The sequence below is a fragment of the Homo sapiens genome, chromosome 10, assembly GCF_000001405.40.
Source record: "Homo sapiens chromosome 10, GRCh38.p14 Primary Assembly".
Classification (NCBI taxonomy): Eukaryota; Metazoa; Chordata; class Mammalia; order Primates; family Hominidae; genus Homo; species Homo sapiens.
Window position 1 is genome coordinate 100,797,246 of NC_000010.11, and position 21,889 is coordinate 100,819,134.

Here is a 21,889-nt window from a genome sequence, read left to right on the forward strand (position 1 = left end):
GAAGAGATTCTAAATTTGGCTCTGCCACTTATTGGCTATCATAAGTTGTTCTGGGTAAATTACCTAATCTCTCTATCCCTCAGTTTCCCCAGGTTAGGAGCTTAGCTGCCAGAGGCATGTTGCCAGGGTTGAGTTCTGGCTCCTCTGCCATCTGTGAGGCGTGTAACCTTGGGAAAGTTCCTTAATCTCTGCACTTTCATTTCCCCATCTACAAAATGGGGACAATAATGTTTAAGTTCTTGTGAAAATTAAGTGAGTTAATATATGTAAGATTATCAGAGGAGTGCCTGATATATACTAAGCACTTAATAAATGTTAGTTGCTGTTATTGTAAGGATTACATCAGTGCATGCATGTTAAGCATAGTGTCTGGTATCCAAGTAGAAACTGGATCTGTTTTAGTTATTATTAGTACTATTTCTACAATAGAGGTTTGGATAGATGGCTGTTAGAATGCAGAGAAAGGAGAAATTAATGGTGAGGGAGGAGCTAACAGCCCTCTTGTATATGTCTGAGGAAACTCAATCCAGAAAAGCTCAGGAGATTTATAGCAAGTGAGCAACAAAACTAGGATTTCAATCCAGGAGATGTTACTTCTGGTCCAGCATTGTGTTAGGGTCACTAGTACAGTTAGTGTCCCTAGAGGCCGGTGGGTGTGAATGGGTACAGCAAGCCTGAGGTCAGACAGGCCCACAGCCACCCCAGCCTCTCCCTATTCATGAACTCACTGAGTGTTTAGAAGCTAGGCTTGGTCAAGTACAGCAGGTAGTTTCCCAGGGCTAGAAGGCTGGGCAGAACCTGGTCTTGCCCCGAGCCAAGGTTTGGGCCAGATTTCCAAAGCCTTCTTCATGTCCACCTCTTTTTTTTTTTTTTTTTTTTTTTTAGACAGGGTCAGGGTCTCACTCTGTCTCCCAGGCTGGAGTGCAGTGGCATGATCTCAACTCACTGCAGCCTCCATCCCCAGGGCTCAAGTGATCCTCCAATCTCAGCCTCCCAAGTAGCCTGGACCACAGACACATGCTACCACACCCAGCTAATTTTTATATTTTTGGTAGAGACGGGGTTTCACCATGTTGGCCAGGCTGGTCTTGACCTCCTGAGCTCAAGCAATCTGCCCACCTCGGCCTCCCAAAGTGCTGGGATTACAGGAGTGAGCCACTGCACCCGGCCCACTTTATGCCCACCTCTTGAGCTTGGCTTGGGAACTGTGGCCAGGCCAGACTCACTGAATGTCCAGTTTAAAGATGGGAGGCAATGGGGCATATCATCCATCTCCCTGGACAAGCAGTGTCACCATAGCTCCTTTCCCAGCCCGGCCCTCTGGAGCCCCTTCCCTCCTCTCTCCTTTTTCCTATCTATTCCTCCCTCACTCCCGGAATCCCACTTTCCCCTCATCCTCTCTTCTTCCCTCCCTTCTCCTATCTCCCTTACCTCTCTCTTCATTCCTGAACACTCCTTCCTTTTCTATCCTCCTCCACTCTCCCTTGTGACTCCCCCACCCAATCCATCAATCCTCCCTCCTCTCCCAGTCTGGACAGCACCTGACCTCTGGGGAGCCACCCCATTCCTCAGCTCCCAAACCTCACTCCCTGTTCCCAGTTGGACCTCCACCTCCCTGGTCCTGCTGTGCCGCCGTGGGGGTGGGGCTGGGCCTGCACAGGCAGGCTGCCCTGAATGACAAGCGGGGATATTGATCGCGTTCTGAACTCAGCCCAGCCGATAGAAGGTAATTAATGACTCCATTTGCCTCACTACCGAGGAGAACAATTGAGTTTGAAACTGCAACAACTGGCAGCTGGGAAGACTGGGGGGCAGCCTGGGGGTGAACCCCTCAGAGGCGGAAGTAATGTGTGGAGTAGCTAGGCAGAGAGAGCACCTTCTGAGCAGAGGCCACCATCAGAACGGGCAGAGCCCCCATCCCCAGCACAGCTGGCCCCTGAGCCCCACTGCTCCCCCAGCCCTTGAGGCCCAAGGCCCATCACCCACTGGTCCCCCCACCTCCACGCTTTTCTCTTTTCTTCCCATATCACTTTTTGAGGTCATTTTCTGCCTGCGGATGAAGACTCAGTTTTCCCAAGACTGCTTCTTGCCAGCTGTGCAATCTTGCACATATTTTGAACTCTCCCTGAGCCTGTTTCCTCGTTTGTAAAATTGAACTAACAGTATCACTTTTGCAAGCATTCTGTGAAGACTGTGGATAATGTGTATAAAGTACCTTGAGCCTGCCCAGAACACAGTAAGTGCTCAGTAAATGATGATGGGTCCTTGACAGAGAAGGCAAACATGGTAGAGTGGAGAGAGCTTCAGAGTCCGACATCCCTGAGTTCACATCCAGGCTCTGCTGCTTCCTAGCTGTGCAGTGTTGAACAAATAATTTTGCCTCTCTAAGACTATTTCCTTTTCTAGAAAATGAGAGTAGTAATAAGTACCTCGTAAAGTTTGAAGAGGTTGATGAGTGTAGGTGAAAGCCCTAATATCATTACTTTCTCCATAGACAGATAGATGTTTGTATTTGAGCTTAGAAAACTGAAGTTAGTGTAATTCTTTTTTTTTTTTTTTTTTTTTCTGAGACAGAGTCTCACTCTGTCACCCAGGCTGGCATGATCTCAACTCACTGCAACCTCCGCCTCCTGGGTTCAAGCGATTCTCCTGCCTCAGGCCTCCCAAGTAACTGGGATTACAGGCGCCCACCACTACACCCAGCTAATTTTTTGTATTTTTAGTAGAGATGGGGTTTTACCATGTTGGCCAGGCTGGTCTCGAATTCATGACCTTGTGATTCACCTGCCTCAAGCCTCCCAAGGTGCTGGGATTATAGGAGTGAGCCACCGCGCCCGGCCAAAGTTAGTGTAATTCTTTGCTATACTTAAATTCTTCTCAAATACCTCATCTTGCTTCCTGGGATTTGATGGGCAACCCCGTTCATCCCACCCTGATTTTGTAGACTTTGATGAGCCTTGGTGCTTTCTGCCCAAGCAAATGACATCATTTCATTTTCATTTTCTTTATTTTTCTTTTCTTTTCTTTCTTTTTTTTTTTTTTTTTTTTTTTTGAGACAGGGTCTCACTCTGTTGTCCAGGCTGAATGCAGTGGCACTATCTTAGCTCACTGCAGCCTTGACCTCCCAGGCTTAAGCAATACTCCCGCCTCAGCCTCCTGAGTAGCTGAGCCACAGGTGCATACAACTATGCCCAGCTAATTTTTTATTTTTGTAAAGATGAGTCTCGCTATGTTGCCCAGGCTGGTCTCACACTCCTGGACACAAGCAATCCTCCAGCCTCAGCCTCCCAAAGTGTTGGGATTACAGGCATGAGCCACTATGCCTGGCCCATTATTTCATTTTATCTATTACCACCACCCCCAACTGTCTCTTGTCCCTTGCAGTGACCCTTCTGTCCCTAGCCCTGTTCCCAAGACAGGGTTCAGGGGGTGTCTCCCTCCCCAAGCTGCTGAGAACCCACTGGACAACTCCATTCATGACTGGCCAGTGCCAGGGCCCTGACCTGGGGTGAGAGGTGTGAGATAGGGCCCAGCTCCAGGGCCACCCAGGAATAGATGGGGAGTGAGTGCAGGGCTGAATGAATGAGGAGATGAGATATTTTGGTTGAGGAGTAAAGACATTTTTAATAGTGATTTTAGAAGTAGCACATACTAATTGCACAAAGCCTGGATGGTATGGAAAAACTTAGATGAAAAGAAAATAAAAATTGCTTGTGATTGGGAAGTAACCACTGTCACCATGCCGGCAGCTCTCCTTCCAGTCAAGTTGATCTTTGGTTTTGGAGTTCTCTTCGTTTGCCTGGAGACTAGGGTCCTGCTGTCAGTAGCCCCACACTCTGGGCTCTGGCTGGGCAGGCAGCCACTCTGTCCGTCTATTTAGTCCACAGCTGTCAGGGCACCTGCCCTGTGCCAGGATCCCCAGCAAATGTCCCCTTGAGCCAGTCACTTGCCCTCGCTTCACCTGCACCTCATTTACTCTGAGCCTCAGTTTCCTCCCCAGTAAAAAGGGATTAAAATCCCTACCTACCTTGGAGAGTGGTTGGGAAGCCCATATAACCTAAGATCTATGAAGACCTTTTGTTAAATGCTAAGCAAATAGGAAACAGTCAGATAAGAAGACAATATGAGCTTTGTTATCCTCGAAAGAATAATCTATGTCAAAGTTTTGACTCAGCAGTTTGTTTAATCGAATTAATTTATTTACATACTATCTGTGTTCCAAAAAGACCTGTAGTAGCTCACCCCCTTGAGAGTGCTCATGCCACAGTGGACAGAGCACCTGGAATGGCCCAGTCCTGGGAGTCCCATTCCCCAGTTGTGTGACCTTGGAAAAGTCACTGCCCACCCCTGCTAGTTATGGTAACATGAAAAATTTGGACCAGACATCCTCTAATCATCTGGGCACAGTCTGCACTCAGCCAGCACCTGTGCCACAGGCTGTAGCCTCCATTTGGGGAGGGTGCCAGGCAAAGAACGAGGGATGCCGAGAGGAAGGCTGTGCCCTGGATGGAGCCAAGTGGCCTTCAACTGGGCCCACTGTGTTTGGCACCCAGGCTGCAGAGTGAAATGATTTAGAGGGCAAGCTCTGTACTCCGACAGACCTGGATTCAAATCTGGCTGTCATTTACTAGCTTCATGGCCTTTGACAAGCTACTTAACCTCTCTTTGCTTCAGCTTCCTTATCTTTAAAATGGTTATCATAGTAGTTCCCTCACAGGGTTGTCGGAAGGATTAAATGAGCTCTGTAAATAACAGCAATGGCATGTAATGAGTTCTTGATACTTGTGAGCTGCTACAGAATGGGAGCTGGGCAGGGGGCAGACGGAGAATGAGGCTGAACCCTCCCTCTATGGGGACTGACTAGCACACGGTCCCTTCCTTGCTCTGTTTGGTCTTATTAAACCCACAGCCACCATATTTTCCAGCCCCAATCTAAAAATGTGGCCAGAGAATGGGGAAGAATACTGGAAATCAGAATTCCTCCTGAAAGCCCAGGACACATGACCAGCAGCCTCCAGCCCTCTTGGTGCAGGGAGTTCAAATGTAGATGTGTTCTCCAGGCCCCAGTCTTAAGCAGCCTCTGCCACCTGCTTTGGATGGCAGCTCAGCAGCCCCGGGGTTAAGTTCTGCTGCTCACCAGGAACACAGTGTTCTCTGTCTATTGGTAGAGGCACCAGAGATGGGCAGGATGGTGTTGCTGAGAGTGGAAAAGGCCTGTGCGTCAGAGCTGATGCTGTTAGAGGCTAACAAGCAGTGGGGATAGCACATCTTTTGCTAGCCAGGGATGTGTGGGGCTTACCTGATGAGAGACTGGGTGTCCTTGGGTGCCAGGCCAGTCAGATGGCCAGTCCCAAAACCTTCTGCCAGAGGTATGGCTTTGAATGCCACCCGGGAGAGTCTGAGTACCTACTCGGGGCCATTCCTGATGCTGGAGCTGCAGAAATGCATTAGTCACGGTCCCTGCCACAAGGTGCTCTTTGACTGGCTGCTGGGCCTGGGGGCAAAGGGGCTGTTGGATAGGGGATCTTCTTTGAAATGGATGGTGTCTAATCACTCACGCGCTCTCCTTCCCTGCTCACTAGATTAAGATCTGCTTTTACATCCTAGAAACCTAGATTAAGATCGGCTTCTGCTTCCACCTCTGTTTCAGCCCAGCTCTGCCAGACAGCCCTTCAACAGCTGGGCCTAACAGTGGTCTCTTTCTTCCTCCTTGCCGTCCCGTCTGAGACTTTGCCCTTGGAAAGTCCCATGCCGAGCTCGCTCCCCATCTTCCCGGGAGAACCCTCTAGGTGGTCAGCACTGACAGCTGTCTTCCTTCTTTCCTTTTTGACTCTTCCTCCTTTACTCTCTTCTTCTTTTCCTCCTCCTCTCCTTCCCCTGCAAAGCCACCCTCATCCAGGCCCTGGGCAGAGAAGGTATCAGGACACCCAGTCTTCAGCGAAAGTAGAGCCAGCTGGTTTTATTCCTGCAGTAAGTGTCCTCACCCCAGCCAGCACTTCCAGCTTCTGGTGCGGAAGGCTTCTTCCCTTTCTTCCCCTCCTTCTTTCTGCCCTTCCACGCCTCTGGGCTTCCTCCTTCCCTGAGCTTATCCTCCTTGGACCTTCTGATCCAGGGCTTCTCCCAACCTCCTTTCCTCATTCCCTTCCTGCCCTCTCTCCTTGCCTTCATTCCTCCCTTCCTTCCCTAGCTGATGGAAGGATGCCACCCCCTCCTCTGGAAAGAGCCCTTGAGAGCCTATGGTACGTGTGGTGTATTTGGAGGGCTGGCTGGCTGTCCCCCACCAGTAATGCCACTGCCCTCTCCTGGGCCCTGCGGCTCACCTCCCTGCACCCCATAAGTTTCTTTGTGCTCCTTCGCCATTCATCATGACTGCTGCCTTCCTTCTCCTACAGGAGTTCCCGCAAGCCTCCTCCAGCCTCTCTGGGGGGTGGGGGTTCTCCGCATGCTTTCATCACACCACTTTGTTTTCCTTCTCCTCTAACGCCTCCTTTCTCCTCCCCACTTCCCTCTCCTCTGCTTCCCCGCCTCCCACTGCCACCTCTTCCAGTAGCAGGCTTCCTTAGCCTTTGCCTCCTTTCCCTCCCCCTTCCCCTCCTTTGCTGCCTCTGTAACCTGTCTTACCACCAGGGCCTGAGTATACAAAAAAATAAATAAATAAATAAAAAGGTCAGTGAGTGGAGGGAGCAGCAATAACCCCTAAAACAGTACTATCAGTGGAACATGATTGATCAATTGAATTCCATAGCGGCTGAAAAATGTGGGATTAAGTAGTGTATTATACGCACAATGAGTTGAGGCATGATGTTCATTTCAAGTTCATTTCGCCGGCCTCTGCCACCAGATCAGGCAATCAATAGGGGCAGCAGATATCATATATCACCTCTCTGCGGGCCGGGGAGAGAGCACCATAATCTCTCGCAAATTTAGAGTGACAGATTTGTCAAGATCTGAAGGGCCCCTGAATAAATGAAGGCAAAGAGACTCCTCCAGCCAGTGACCTGAGGACAAAGCTTCAGTTCAGCCCCTACACACACACACACACACACACACAGACACAGTGAGCCAAGCCACACACAGACAGGCATATACACAAATCTACACAGAGGCATGAGGAGAGTCCTGCCACACATGCACACACATAATGTGTGAACACACGCTCACAAATACACCCTCTCTGCCCCTACAATAACCATATATGAAGATATTTGATGCTTTCCTCAGCCCTGAGAGTCCGGCTTCCCCAAAAGGTAGGAGGGCTCCAGGAAGGGAGAATCAAACACAATAGGACACGCAAATAGCTACAGGGAGTGAAATGAGGATGATGGCACATCCTGAAAAAAGAAGTAGGCACAGGAGAAACGGGGCATGTGGCCTCACAGTCCTCATGCAATCACACACAGACACACACATTCTTTCAGGAAGCTTCTCATTCTATTTCCACACACGCAGACCCTTGTTTATCTGGACGTTTATATATGTACAAGCGCGTAGACACGCAATACTCACACAAAAGGGAAAAATAAATTTACCACACTTCAACTTTCAACTCATATGTTGATGCATACATCCCGTAAGACTGAAATGATTCCAGAGCCTTATGCAGAAGAAACCACAACCACCAAGTTTTGTGTTCATGGGAACAAATACCATTGAAGCTGCTTCTGTCTGTCTTCTTCAGATGTGGTCCTGGTCTTGATCTCTGTCTCTCTCTCCCTCTCTTTCTCTCTCTCCTTCTCTCTCTCTCTCTCTCTCCTTCTCTCTCTCTCTCTCTCTCACATACACACACACACACACACACACACACACACACACACACACACACACACACACTTTCTTTGCTTTCCCACCCCCTCCAGAATAGATATGGAGGGAAGATGGGAGGTCACATTAGGAAAGCAAACCCCATGCTCGGTCTGGGAGGCCAGCAAGGGAGGATGGCTGCAGGTTGAGTTAATCAATATGTAATATTTTCTATGGTCTCCTGAATGATACTGTATGGTGTTACTGTATATAATGCAATATTGATTATATCATATCGTATAATCACCTATAAACTGATATATATAACATTCCCAGAGGAACACCCTGGGGCCTCCGGCATGGGCTGGCCCCAGGCCCAAGGCTCCTCAGCTGGTCTTGGGCTGAGGGAAGCCTGGAGTGACCAAGCTGGTATGGGGTTTGGGGGGGAAACCCCACTTTGGGGGGCTGCAAGGTGTGGGTTCAGAGAGAGGCCACAGAGCAGGCACATTGCCTACTGTACACCTTGAAAACTCCAAGGAACCGACGCTGGGAGGCAAGGATAGGGGAGGGCTGAGAACGCCTGAGGAAAGGGGACATGGAGACAGGATTGGCCTGTAGACTCAGGGGAGCAGGCACCGGTGTGATAAGACTCTGCTCCCTCTGGAGACTTGCAGGAGGAACCAGGTGACCAAGAAACTGGCTCCTGTAGGAGGCTTGAGCCTGGGTCTAGGTTGGAGACAGAGGCCGAGAAGGCGGCCAGGGCATAGAGGCATCCACAGGGGCCCTTCTGTGGGCTCTGCCCAAGCGGGAGCTTTGCTGCTCTAGCGACACCTCTTTCCTCCCGCTTGGTTTCCCTCTGGCCTCAGTCCTGGCCCAACCCAAGCAGAGTGCCTCAGCTCTGCCTCAGAGCCCCTCCTCCCTCAGGGCGAAGTTGATTACTTCACCCAGTCTCCAGGTTACACTCGGCCTCGGAAATTTGATGGTTTTCAACCCTTGGAATTAGTGGAACTGAAATTCATCTCGGAGCCGAGTTCAATTCTCCACAGGCTCAGTAATGCCAGTCTGAGACACCCAGCTTCTTTCTTCCCCAGGCTGGCCCTGGCTTGGGGGCAGGGGGTGGTTCAGGGAGACATGCCCCAGGGAGCTGGCTCCTGGGAGCCCCCTGGCTCCACCTCTGCCTAATCCTTCCTGACCCCACAGTGTGACCGCTCCATCTCTTACCAGGTCCTCAGGTCCTTCTCTTCCTTGGGCTTCCTCAGCCAGATCTCTGAGGCAGGGCCACCCTCTGGTGTCAGCCCCACTGGCCCAGGGGCTGAGAGTAAGGGGTCCCATAGGGGTGCAGAGCTCCTGGGCCCGGAACCAGATGCCCACCTCTTTGCCCTGCACTGTTCCTGTGCCTCTGCTGGCCTGGCGCTAACGCCCCGAGTGTCCATGTGTTCTCCAGATGTGTCTGAGGGCTCAGTCCCCAATGGAGATTCCCAGAGTGGTGTGGACAGTTTGCGGAAGCACTTGCGAGCTGACACCTTCACCCAGCAGCAGCTGGAAGCTTTGGATCGGGTCTTTGAGCGTCCTTCCTACCCTGACGTCTTCCAGGCATCAGAGCACATCAAATCAGAACAGGTGAGGAGGGAGCTTTCTGCTTGCAGAAGTAGAAAGGAGCCGGCAGAGCAAGGCCTCTCAAAAACTTGTTCACTAAACACCACATGCATAGCCAGCATTGTATGTGTTACACACGTGTGTTCTGTGTGTGTGCAGTGTGAACAGGCTCACATGAGACAGTATGGTATCGTTAAGACAAATCATTATGGTCTGTATATGGTAATTAGAAATGAGTTCTGGGTGCAAGAGTATGGCCTTGGGTAAATCATCTCTGTTCAGAGCCTCGGTTTCCCCATCTATAGAATGAAGGGCTTGGATGTAGGGTTTGTCAAGTCCCTTCTAGCTCCGCTTTTCTGTGGTTCTTGCATGGAGTACTCAGGAACATCCTCTTGCTGTGTCCCTTGCCCACACCCCCTCAGGGTCCTACAGAAAGTCTACGCTAGACTGGGGAGCTCTCCTTGCCCAGTGTCAGGAGAGCCTGCCTGTGCCTGCCTCCTGCTCCCCAAGCCAGCAATTCAATGGAACCCTAGGTAGGCTGGCAGCTTCCCACTTACACCCAACACTTTCTGCAGACACTGAGCAGCCCAGGACACATAGCATGGGGCACAGCATGTAACACACCAGCAAAACGCACAACGCAGAAACCATCTCCGAACTTTTCTATGTGCTGGTGTGCATGTGCTCACACTCCACCATCCACCTGCTCCCCTCACCCACAGCCCATGGTACTGTGCTCACACACCACTGTCCACCTGCTCCCCCACCCACAGCCCACGGTACTGTGCTCACACACCACCGCCCACCTGCTCCCTCACCCACAGCCCACGGTACTGTGCTCACACACCACCGCCCACCTGTTCCCTCACCCACAGCCCACGGTACTGTGCTCACACACCACTGTCCACCTGCTCCCCCGACCACAGCCCACGGTACTGTGCTCACACACCACCGCCCACCTGCTCCCTCACCCACAGCCCACGGTACTCACAGCTAGCCCCGGCAGCCGCATGGAGCCAGTGGGTGTGTGCTGCCCCCAGATCACCAGCTCAGCATACCCCTAGCATATGCCTCCACCCACATACGCTGGGTGGAGCCCCCAGCACACCCGCTCCCACACAGGGGCACACTCCCATCCCTGCTACACATGCAGCCCAGGCCAGGCCCACAGTCACAGCACAAGACAGCATTGCTGTGCTTGCATGCATGCACACACGCACCCACACATGCACGTCAGTGCAGCCCCACAGCGTTGAACGCTGTAGTTCCACTCTTAAGACTCCAACAGCTCCCAGCCACTCGCCTTTCTCCCCGCCCGTCCTTTTATCCCATAAGCTGTTTGTCTTCATAAAACAAAAATCAAAAGTCTTTTTAAGGTGCCCTGAGCCATAAACCAACAAAGGAGGAGCTGGCCGAGGCGGGCGGCTCAGTGCACCCTCCCTGAGTCCCCGCCTGTATTACAATGAATAACCTTTATTTACTTTCATTAGACTATTAAACACCAGCACAGTCATTTTTCCCCCTGAAACTCGGAGCAGGGCCCATAAAGCAAATCCGAAGCCTAATTGAGTTCATTTTAATTTCTCTCCGATCACAGCGAATTACTCTGGTGATAAATCAGGGGGCAGCTTCACCCCCAGTAGAAGGCCTAATTTGCAGCTAATTACAAAACTGATTTCTACAGGAAGATCAATACGAGAAGGAATTGGAAATGACGAGGCAATCCCGTCCAGCCATGGAGGGGAGGGGGTACTCTAGGGGGGCCAGGAAGCGGAAGGGAAAAAAACAGACCCGAAAGAGCAGGAAATCAGTTTTAATTTAACGTAATATTAATCAGAGCAACTTTTCCTGCTTTGTGCAGGCTCCCGGTCTGCCCAGCTCTGGGGTCTGGCTTGGCCGTGGCTGCAATAAAAAGGCAATTACCCGAGTGTTTCAGGCAGGACACCCTTTCAGAGTCAATGACTGGCCCCCTCCTACCCTTCTGTTAGCCATGTGGACTCTCCCCCTCCCCAATTTCATACCCCAGTGCACAGGCAGACAGCGAGGGGCCCATGGGGCTGTCATTGTTTGTTTTTAAAAAAGGGGCGCCCATACCCGATCAGCCAGCAGTGCCAGGCTGAAGGCCCCACTAGGCCCTTCTCCCAGCTACTGGCTCTGCCAGTCATGTCATGGTTCCCCCTCCTCCCCAAGGCTCCTCGACATCCCATGCCTCTCAACAAGGGTATCCCCACTACTACACCCTACCCGCAGGGGTGCTTAGGCAGGAGATGCTACAGAAACATAAAGGGTGCTGGCATTAAGTGCCCAAAATGTGTAAAGGGTGCTGTGCCTCCGGTTTCACCAAGTCAGGTCTACTACCCGCACAAAACTTGCCATCATCCACCAAGCCCCCGCATCTCCCCTCTGCCCCACCATCTCTTTCTACCCCATCTGGGCGGGCTCCCCTGTTCCTCCTCCCCATCTGCACACCGAGCCCTTTCTCTGTGCGTGCATCAATAGAGAGCTGTCACTTTTCTCTCTCCTCCCAGGGGAACGAGTACTCCCTCCCAGCCCTGACCCCTGGGCTTGATGAAGTCAAGTCGAGTCTATCTGCATCCACCAACCCTGAGCTGGGCAGCAACGTGTCAGGCACACAGACATACCCAGTTGTGACTGGTAAGGGGGCTTCCAGGAGGGTGGGGGCACTGCGTTCAGTGGAGGGTGCCTCAGCCCATGCCATCTGAGGCCCAGTGTGAGGAGCAGGTCCCCCACCGTGATATTTACAGAGAGAACGAGGCTTCTAAAACCAGGGTGCTTCCTGAACAGGGGTGTGCAGATGTGGGGAGAAAAAAACTGGGGTCAGGGCATCTGTGGGCTTCAACCTGGAAAGGCTGATGCTAGGAGGGGCTGTTGCCAGTTCTTCCTCCTGTCCTTCGCCTCTCCCTTTGTCTATTTCTCTTCCCTCTCCCAAGTTGCCCAGAATCATGAGCCTCTTGTTAGGATGTCTGCAGAAAGCAAATAAGCCAGGCTGGTGAGAGTGGAGCATGGGTACCCAGTGTCCAGCCTCCACACTTGGGTCTCCAAGGCTCCTGGGGGACCCGCTTACCGCTCCCTCCAGGCAGCATGGGTGATCATGGCTTTGGGCTTGAGGGCATGGCACCCAGCTCTGTGGAGTTTGAGATGAGTACAATTATTCCAGCCTTCCTCCTGCTTCCCAGAGAGGTCAGTGACACCAAGGCTTGATTTCAAGGCCAGGTAGGATCAGGCTTGGCCCACAATCAAATGCAGAGCTAGGGGCGCCATGGCCAGGAGCCCCTACAAATGAAGAGCAGCAGGGCCAGTTAGTTTGGAAGGGGAGGTGGAGTCCAGGGAAGGCCGCAGAGCTCCAGGCTGTGGAATGCACGTGCCACTGCAGAAGGGTTTCCAGGCCAGGAGACTGCCCAAATGGGAGAGACACGCATTGAGGTGTTATTAAAATTCACCTAATTATTCTGGAGACACTAAAGCCAATGTGCCGTTTGTTCCTTGGGAGACAGGATGATTGAGAAGGGTCTCGGTGGGGATTGGGAGACACTGAGGCGTTACCTGCAGAGCGAGGCAAGCGGAGGTGGCCTGCGGACCCAGCAGCAGGGCTGCAGAGCCAGCGGCAAAGGCAGGGAACAGGCACCGCCCACTCTAGGACTGGGCCCTGGTTCTGCCTGTGAGCTGGTCTGAGTGCGGCTGCATTTGAGCCTGAGCTGGGCTCAGTGGCCACCCAGCCTCCACCTGGGGGCTTAGGAGAGCCCTGTCAGTTTTCCCAGCCTCTCCCTAAGGGGCTGTACTGGTACAACTGTTTCCAGCCTAGATCTTTGGCTAGGGAGTCAGAGGTTGAATTCTAGAAGTGTTGGAGACCTGGACTGGGCTTTCGGGAGTGACGACCTTAGCTGGGTTAGCTGGGCCAGGACACAGCCCATGACCAAATGGCCCTCAGCATGAGCCATCCTTCGCCCAGCTGGGAAGCTCTCTGACCTGCTAGGTATTCTGACCCAAGGCAGAGAGACGGCCCAGGCCAGGCCACCTTTCTCCTGACCTGCTCAGAAGTACAGTGGTCACTTCCCAAAGATGGCCACTCCAGGCACTGTTCAAAGAGAACCCGGGAGACTTCTCTAACCCCATCTGCTGCCCAGCGCTCAGGCCATAGTCTAGAAGGCAAGGGCTTCCTAGGGTGGAGCTATGGATCTTCAGGGTAGGGCTCCTGCCACAGGAGACCCAGGGGCTGGTACAGAGAAGTGCCTCCACCTTGAGCAGCCCCCACCCGCCTCCCCCCCATGGCCCTGGAACAGTCCCAGCTCAGCCTGGGAACATCTCCGGCTGATCCATCTGGATCCAAGTGTGAGAAAAGTTCATTTCAGACCCAGCTTGACATTCCCAGGTGGCAAGTTAGCACTAACATCTCAATCTGTATGCGACATTTCAATCAAGCGAGGAGTAACAAAAGCAGAACCATTAACATTCGGAGCTGTTCACCAGTGGTAATGACGGGGAAACTCGCTCAGAAACTGGAAATTACCAAAAAGAGACAAGTGTGTGGAGAGGTGGGGGAGGGAAGATGGGGATAGGGGTAGGGAATGATTTTTCCACACTTAGGCCAAGATCCACTGTTTGGATTAATAGTGCCATTACCCAAGAAAGAGCTGCAGATTATGCTCATTCTTAAAATGTTTTTGCTGGCAATTAAACTGCTGCAGTTATTGATCTTTGTTGATTTTATGTCCTCCTAATTTGCATAATCTATTAAAGATGAATGATTTATGATGTGTTTATTATGGGGACAAACAGAATTTGCTAGAGGTACTGTCAAGGTGAGCCATGGGGCATTGCTCAGAGACTCCATATGCCATCTCAGCAGTGGGTCCAGCATGTTGGCCTTCAGGCCAGGATATTGTGGGTAGTAGTGAGCAGTGATGCAAGGAGAACAGAAACAGGAGAGTGGACTTTGGGTGAGTTCTTCTAGAAAGATACTGGCATCTGTGAGAACTGGGCTCCAGGCAGAGCTGGAGTGCGGGAGAGGCCCTTAGTGTATTTGTGGACACTGACCTCAAAGAGTCTTTAAAAGCTTATTTTCTTGGCAAATATTAAGGGCTTTGGTGGGAGAAGAGAAAAGGAGGCTCTTTTAGGTGGGTAGGTGATTCTGGGGAGGTGTGTGCTAAAGGTAAGGGAGCTGTTAGGTCACCCAGTGCCCATAGCCTGGCTTAGGAGTGCCGAGGTGTTCAAGGAGCCCTCTTTATCCTCCACGTCTCAGGCACCCTGCTCATCTTCTTCCCCAGGACTGACAGCTGCGGCTGCAAACCTTAGGGGATGAGGGAATGCCCTAGCCCAACCTGAAAAGCCAGACCTTATTGAGATTCCTGCCACCTCCTGGCCCTGGAGGCTGATTTCAAACTTCACCAGCCACTTGATGCAGCTATTCCACAAGGTCAGGACTGAGAGGAGAGAGGAACCTAGACTATTGTGTGGAGGGGAGAGTGGGGCCCAGTGGGCCAGGACACAGCTAATCACATTGCAAGCAAGGGTGGCTGCCGGAGGCTAGGGCTCAGCCCCATAGCCTCCCCTCCCCACCTTCCATCAGGGAACCGAGGAGAGAGACTGATTTTGCTGGGTAGTGTTTGCAAGTTCTGCCGAGATTTTAATTTCACTGCATCACAACTCAGCAAGCTGCCAAGTCAAGCTGGTTATTTAAATTTATCACCCACTTTCCCTTCCGCCGCTGGGCTGCTCTAGCTCAGCGGCATCTCTTCTCTCCAGCCCACGGCTCTAGGCTGCTGGTCTGGAACGGAGCCTCGTCTCTCCTAAGTGATAAAGAAAGAGGGACCAGCTACATGAGAGAATGGGTCACGGGCATTCTGGCCCCAGGCTTTTTCAGGTTGGCTGGCTGTGGCTGGTACCTCTCATCACCTTCTTGACCCTCCAAAGGAGCCCAGAGGGGCTGCCATCCACCTCTCAGTAGTCCCAGGGCCCTCCGGGTCAGGGCATCTGCAGTGAGGACTCGCTCCAACTGCATGCAGGAGGCTTCATTCCTTAAAGTCTCCCATCCCTGGAAGAAAAGATAGTCCCTGTTCTCCATAGCATTCTCACCTTGACCCCCCCTCCCCATGTCTGGCCGGGGCTCCAGTGACAAAGGAGCATGCAGAGACACTGGCAGTGATGTTGATCTGGGAGGAGAAGATGAGAACTTACTCCAGGATTCCCAAAGTCACTGGGGATGTTTCTGAGCATTAGAGAGTCCCTTGACACAGTGCAAGTCCACCCCGAAGGAGAGAGCCCAGATGCAAGGAACAGTGCTGGAGAAGTCAGAGACTGTGCAGTTCCATGCTCTCTAGAAAAGGGTTGGCCAATCTTTTGGCTTCCCTGGGCCACTTTGGAAGGAGAAGAAATTACTTAAGTCACACATAAAATACACTAACACTAAGATAGCTGATGAGCTAAAAACAAAAACAAAAATAAAATACCTCATAATGTTTGATGAAAGTTTACGAATTTGCACTGGACCACATTCAAAGCTGTCCTGAGCAGCACGTGGCCTGTGGGCTGTGGATTGGACAGGCTCGCTCTAGAAGCTAGGGAAAGCACCAGTCCCTGGAGCCACTGCACCCACAGGCTTCACTGGCCTCTAGTGGGCATTGCTGCCGCGCACTGGCAGAGCCTTGAGCAAGTGCAGCTCTCACCGCCCTTGTTTTAGTCACAGAGAGGTAAAGGAGGAATGAGATTGATGTCTGGGACCCAGGCAGGCTACCTCACCAAAACATAACTGAATAAAATATAACAACAAAAATGTTAATACGCAGCAAATCTCACTCTTTGGTGCCAGAAATAGAGGGGAACTCAAAGCCAGATCAGTATTGGAGAGGCCGCTGGCATCACACTGGAGGGAGATGCTGACTGGGAGAGGATGGGGTTGTAACACACCAGTCAGGGAATGTGACTTTGGGAATCAGGAAGCCAGAACTGAGTATCATCCTGCATAAAGCAAGGAACAGAACAGGGACCACACTGTCCGTGAAAGGCAAACACATACACTCGTCTGAGTAGCCCAGGGAAACAAGGAAGGGGGCAGAATGGAAGGTCACCATGAGACATGGAGACGCCAAGCCTGATGCCAGATCAGAGTCCAAATTTATACCATGAGTATGTTGCAGGAAACCCAAGCCAGGAACTTACATAAAAATTTGTACAGGATAGTAACCCATTCTGAAACCTCACCAGGAGCAATGACAAACCTTCTTTGTAGAGACATTCTAAAATCCAGGGCACATGGGACTCCCACAGGGGGAAGAAAAAACCCCACCACTAATGATGAGCTTACTGTAAAAAAAAGTACACATCTCATGTGAATACAAACTTTCAAAAGGGAAAGTTAGTAGAAGCAATAAACAGAACAGTTAACATCCCCCCAAGACCTGGGAACAATAGAATAATCCAAAAGTGCTATAAACTCAGCATGTTTAATATTCTAAAAAAGATCAAAGGGGCCGGGCGCGGTGGCTCACGCCTGTAATCCCAGCACTTTGGGAGGCCGAGGCAGGCGGATCACGAGGTCAGGAGATCAAGACCATCCTGGCTAACATGGTGAAACCCCGTCTCCACTAAAAAAATATACAAAAAATTAGCCGGGCGTGGTGGCAGGCGCCTGTAGTCCCAGCTACTTCGGAGGCTGAGGCAGGAATATCACTTGAACCCAGAAGGCAGAGCTTGCAGTGAGCTGAGATCGTGCCACTGCACTCTAGCCTGGGCGACACAGCGAGACTCCATCTCAAAAAAAAAAAAAAAAAAAAAAAGATCAAAGGAAGTATCAGCTGTATCTTTACCACAGATCCAGATCCCCCAGTCCCTTCCCACCACTGCTCACCAAATTGTCAGATAATGGAGATCAAAAAGGGCAAAGAATGAGGACCATACCTATAGATTATTGCTTTGGGGTCCAGGAGGCATGGAAAGAGCTGAGCCTCAGGCAACTCTGAAAGTAGAGCCTGTTCCAGGCTTGTCCAGGCTCCCAGACTGCTAAGCCTCAGCAGAAAATCTTATATTTTCTTTGAGAAAATGTCTGAACATTAGAGAGCTAGAGATGGGCACAGTACCTTTCTCCCCAGTGGGGTGGGGGCAGGTGGGAAGCCTCCGTAGCTTCCCCATCCTGGTTGGGGGAAGGTGGTTTTATTCAAGAGCTTGGGAGAAATGTCTCTTAATTGCTGAAGACTGCAGTTTTGAAGGAAGCTGTAATTAAGATCCAGGAAGAGATGTGGATGCTGCCCAAGAGGGAAGTGCCCAAGGCAGGAAGAGGGAGCAGAAGAGGCTGGTCTCCCAGAAGCTGGCTGATTTGAGCAGAGGTAGGGGAGGCCAGAGAGGCAAAGTTCACAGCTGGACAGCAGCAGGGACCAGTGTGAGCAGTGTGGATGTAGCTTCTGAAAAGGGTTGCCAACTCAGAAGCTCGGCCTCCTGGCCCACATCTGAGATGGTCAGCAAAGTGGCCTTTTAGCAGATAGAGGTGTGGACCCTGGGAAACCTCCTCCTCCTACTCAGGGCATCCTGAGGACCTCCAGGAACTGCCTCTTTCCTGTAGTTAACAACCCCCTTCCAATGCAACTGCATTTCCCTCCATAAAACAAACAGCTTAGCCCTTGGCCAGCCCCCGGGGGAGGAGAGGGCAATAAAGACTGAGAAATGTTTCTCAAGGAGGCTGGGAGTCTCCTAGTCTTGTCTGTCAGCTCAAAGCCCCTGATTAGCTAGAGGAATTTAGGGCACAGACATCATAGTTCCTCTCCTTGAAAGGAGAGGGCTAAGACAACTTCAGACGTGTGGCAAGTCAGAGATCCCTTTACTGTGGAGGCCAAAGCAAGCCAGAGGGCTGTTCCTCAGTGCTCACATGCCCTAGACCCTTCCTTTAGGCTGTGAGGGTCCCAAGAAAAGAGGCTAGCCTCCTTCAAACATCCCTGAGTCTGCTGGCCACATCCCCAAGGACCTCCAGCCCCCAACCTCAGCTCTGATTTAATTATGGGGGCATTTCCATAGCAATGAGACATTGACAGATATGCGGCTGCTCTCGGCCTGCAGCCTAGGGAGTCATTGGATCAGGCCTCTTTCCCTTCCTCCTTTATCCAGTCCACTGATAGAGGTAAAGGATATGGAAAAGAAGAGGCCCTAATCCACTGTCGGGATCAGAGTCAGGCCATATTTGACCAGAATAAAAGCTGTGCCACCTCAATCTCAGGTCCCAATCCCATGTCCTTGTCTGTGCCTACCGGCCACCCTGTGCTGCTGGGCTGCCCTTCCCAGGAGGGTGCCATGGCAGAAGTACCCTGGCTGAGAATGGGGCTGCAGAGGGAGGAGCATCGTAGGGAGGGTGACAAAGGTAGGAAGGGTTTGGGGTGTCTTAGCAAAGACGTAGTTCTGGTGTTTTCTACGCTGAGCTCAAATTTGGCCCTTAACCTTGGGCCTTTCTTCTTACCTCCTCCCTTCATCTCTTCCCTCTGTCCGTGAGGCCCAAAAACCTGAACATGCCAAATGGAGTGCTTATTCCTCCAAGGATGGCCTCACTTGTTCATCAGAGATCAGAGAGAGAGAGAAAGGGGCCAGTCTGAATTTGAATCAAAATATTTTCTAAGAAATCAATGATCTTGCTATCAAGTGCATAACAATAGCCAACTCAGGCCAATAAAGGATTGCCCAGTTGAGAATACTGGCCACTGCTTTCATGATTCGTCAGGTTACGGGACCCTTTTGGTTTCTGTAGATGTCATTTAGATACTTGATGTGTCCCACAGGGGAATTCTCCAAAAAAGAGATCTCCCAGCACTAAGCTTTTTAGTCCGTTATTTGGTACTTTTTAAGAAGAAAATGTTGGCTAAGTAAAAGTAAGGTCAGTCAACCCAACATTTTTTGAATGACCGGAAATCCTAAAGACTGCTGTCCCAATGAAACAGGTATGTATTGGTACCAAGGGCTCAGAAATGTCTCAGTGGCCTCAAAGCCACCTAGGCAAGACCTGAAAACCTGTTTCCCCCAGAGGGCCGGCCACCTCCAAGGTGACAGGAAGACCCCCCACTTTTTTCCCAGGGTAGCCAGAATCCCTTCCACCTCCACAATTAGCTGTAGCCTCAGGACAAACAAGCTAGTGCTTTTGCAACCCTGAGCTTTGGGAGACAAGCTCCGCCACTATTGTCACTTCTGAGAGGGCTTTGCATGCCTTCAGCCTGAATCCTCCCCTCTTCTCCCCAGTGGTGGTGGCGGCTGGGCTGGCAGGCAGGGAAGGAGGAAATCCTGCAGGGCTCGGAGAACAGCCTAATGCTGCAGAGGCTTAAGTGGCCGTTTTCCTTGGGATTAGGGTTTCACTTACACAGAGCGCCTGAAAAACACTGCGCTTTTGGAAGGATTAGAGCTGACAATTCAGTGCTCTCAGAGAACAAAATAAAGCCAGAGAGGAACTGGGAGGCCTGGAGTATCAGAAGACTCTGCAAACAGGCTTAACCTCTGCCCACCCAGCATGAGGGTCTCTCATGCTCTGAGCCCATCTTTGAGCCTGGGCCCAACCTCTTGAGTGCCAGTACCTGCCCAACTCCAATCTTCATTTGTGATTTGCTCATGGAGCCAGAGAAGGCAACACAGGGACGTTGCCTTCTGGAAAGAGGACTGGGAAGTTGCCAACTGGGAAGAGGACTGGAAATGTCTTCCCCTCTCTCTGAGCCTCAGTTTCCTCCTCCGTAAAACAAGGGAGTTGGACTAGAAGATATCCAAGTTCCTTCTCAGCCCTTTGAAAATGTGATTCTCCCCAACATTCCCTGGTGTTATCCTAGGATGCTGAAGCTGCATTTCCATCCATGGTCCAGCTGAATTAGAAGGAAACCACCTCCTGTGAGGCCCTGAGCCAACAGGCTACACAGCCCAGAGGAGGGCGGGGTGCTGGGAGAAGGGATGGAAACAGCATGACTGGTTGTGTCCGGCCGGTTGGCTGTCAAGGTGTAGACCTCACTAAGCCCCTGCAGATCTGGGTAACATCCCTGCCTAGGACACACCAGGGATTCAAGGTGGCAGTGGGAGCTGAGATCAACTGGAAGAGCAGCCACCCTGAGTTGGAGGCACAGCCCCCTCTGCTGGAACCTGGAGCAGGCAAGCCTCAGGTGGGGTATGGGGCTGAGGCCAGAGCCTGGGGCTGTGGGCTGTCCCATAGTCCCTTCTGCCCTAGAGGACAACTCAAATCCTGGGAGGATTTGGAAGCTTGGGAAATAAGAAATGAAAGGAAATATGTAGATAGTTATTTTCCTCTCCTTTTAAAACATCTTGTGTGGATTTAAAGTTTGTTACTTTAGTGTAATAGATATACGTTGAATTGGTCATAAGGTGCTCGTAATTGTTATAGTAAATACCAATTATGCATTTATATATTTAGGCAGCAATTACAAATTTAATAACTGTGTATTTTTGTAAGTATTATAAATGCCTATGTCAAATGCAGGCATAGACTGCCAGCCTTGAAGAAATCTAATGTCTTCATTTTCGCTACCTTATGAGAAGCAGACAGAACTTGAGGATAGGGCAGTAAAACAAGAGTTATGTTTTCTGGCCTTAGGGTCCTCCGCAGTGTCAAGTGGGTAGCAAAAGTGCTCATTTTCAGAGAAAGATGCTGAGGAAAAGCATCTCTGAACTCCTCGATAGAACTTTTGCTATATAAATCTATGTCTAATAAGTCTCATCTGAGCCATCATGAGCAGCAGTTTCTGCTTCTTTCGTGGCTTCCTTTTTATTTCCTTGATCTTCTGAATGCTGACATTTTCCTTGACTTGAGATGCAACTCCCTGCTACTTCACATGTTATTTTGCTGTGCTTTGTATCATCCTGTTTATTGATACAATTCAAGTAGTTGCAAACAAATCAGTGTCTTATGCCAAAGAACGGGGCTCTTTCACTTTTTTATAAACAGTGCTTATTAATCTTTAAGCCATATTTTTTGAGAATATGATAAAAGTCATGTACCATCTACACAGAAAGATACAGATATACAATGTCCATAACATTTTATGTATAGATTTATATAGACCCCTTGAAGTGATCTATGGGTTCTTGAGGGATCAGTTAACCCCAATTTAAAACCCCCACTGTAAAAAAGTGGAAGAAACTGAAACACATAAGAAACAAGAAGTGACAAGATGTTCTGTTATAGGAAGGATTCACTTAGCATGATCCCATATTACTTTCCTGGACCAAACACCTATCTATTTTCTGGGTCTGCACTATTTGAGAACAATATCATTCCAGGATCATTTCCCAAGTATACAGCCTGTTCTGTAATCCAGTTTCTGCCATCTACTAGCAGTGAAATCTCAGACGTAATATTTGGCCCCTCTGAGTTTATTTCTCATCTATAGAATGGGGATTAAAGGCCGGGCGTCGTGGCTCACCCTGTTATCCCAGCACTTTGGGAGGCCGAGGTGGGTGGATCACCTCAGGTCAGGAGTTCGAGACCAGCCTGGTCAACATGGCAAAACCCTGTCTCTACTAAAAAATACAAAAGTTAGCTGGGTGCAGTGGCAGGCGCTTGTAATCCCAG

The 21,889-nt window shown here is 50.7% G+C and overlaps 1 protein-coding gene across 6 annotated transcripts in view, besides 3 other annotated features; it reads left to right on the forward strand.

The window, feature by feature from the left end:
* PAX2 (paired box 2) overlaps positions 1–21,889 on the forward strand; it is a 94,549-nt gene that overhangs the window by 61,850 nt on the left and 10,810 nt on the right. For all 6 annotated transcript variants that reach the window (NM_001304569.2, NM_003987.5, NM_003990.5 and 3 more), the window contains 2 exons: positions 9,185–9,360; positions 11,865–11,991. In NM_001304569.2, the coding sequence (NP_001291498.1) occupies positions 9,185–9,360; positions 11,865–11,991 (303 nt within the window). The remainder of the gene's footprint in view (positions 1–9,184; positions 9,361–11,864; positions 11,992–21,889) is intronic.
* Positions 5,800–6,300: an enhancer, noted in NCBI's record as "H3K4me1 hESC enhancer chr10:102562802-102563302 (GRCh37/hg19 assembly coordinates)". NCBI's record gives its function as "activates a minimal SCP1, AML or CMV promoter by ChIP-STARR-seq in primed H9 embryonic stem cells {active_cell/tissue: H9 hESC(primed)}" and the evidence as "EXISTENCE:reporter gene assay evidence [ECO:0000049][PMID:30033119]".
* Positions 10,261–10,761: an enhancer, noted in NCBI's record as "H3K4me1 hESC enhancer chr10:102567263-102567763 (GRCh37/hg19 assembly coordinates)". NCBI's record gives its function as "activates a minimal SCP1, AML or CMV promoter by ChIP-STARR-seq in primed H9 embryonic stem cells {active_cell/tissue: H9 hESC(primed)}" and the evidence as "EXISTENCE:reporter gene assay evidence [ECO:0000049][PMID:30033119]".
* Positions 19,820–20,320: an enhancer, noted in NCBI's record as "H3K4me1 hESC enhancer chr10:102576822-102577322 (GRCh37/hg19 assembly coordinates)". NCBI's record gives its function as "activates a minimal SCP1, AML or CMV promoter by ChIP-STARR-seq in naive H9 embryonic stem cells {active_cell/tissue: H9 hESC(naive)}" and the evidence as "EXISTENCE:reporter gene assay evidence [ECO:0000049][PMID:30033119]".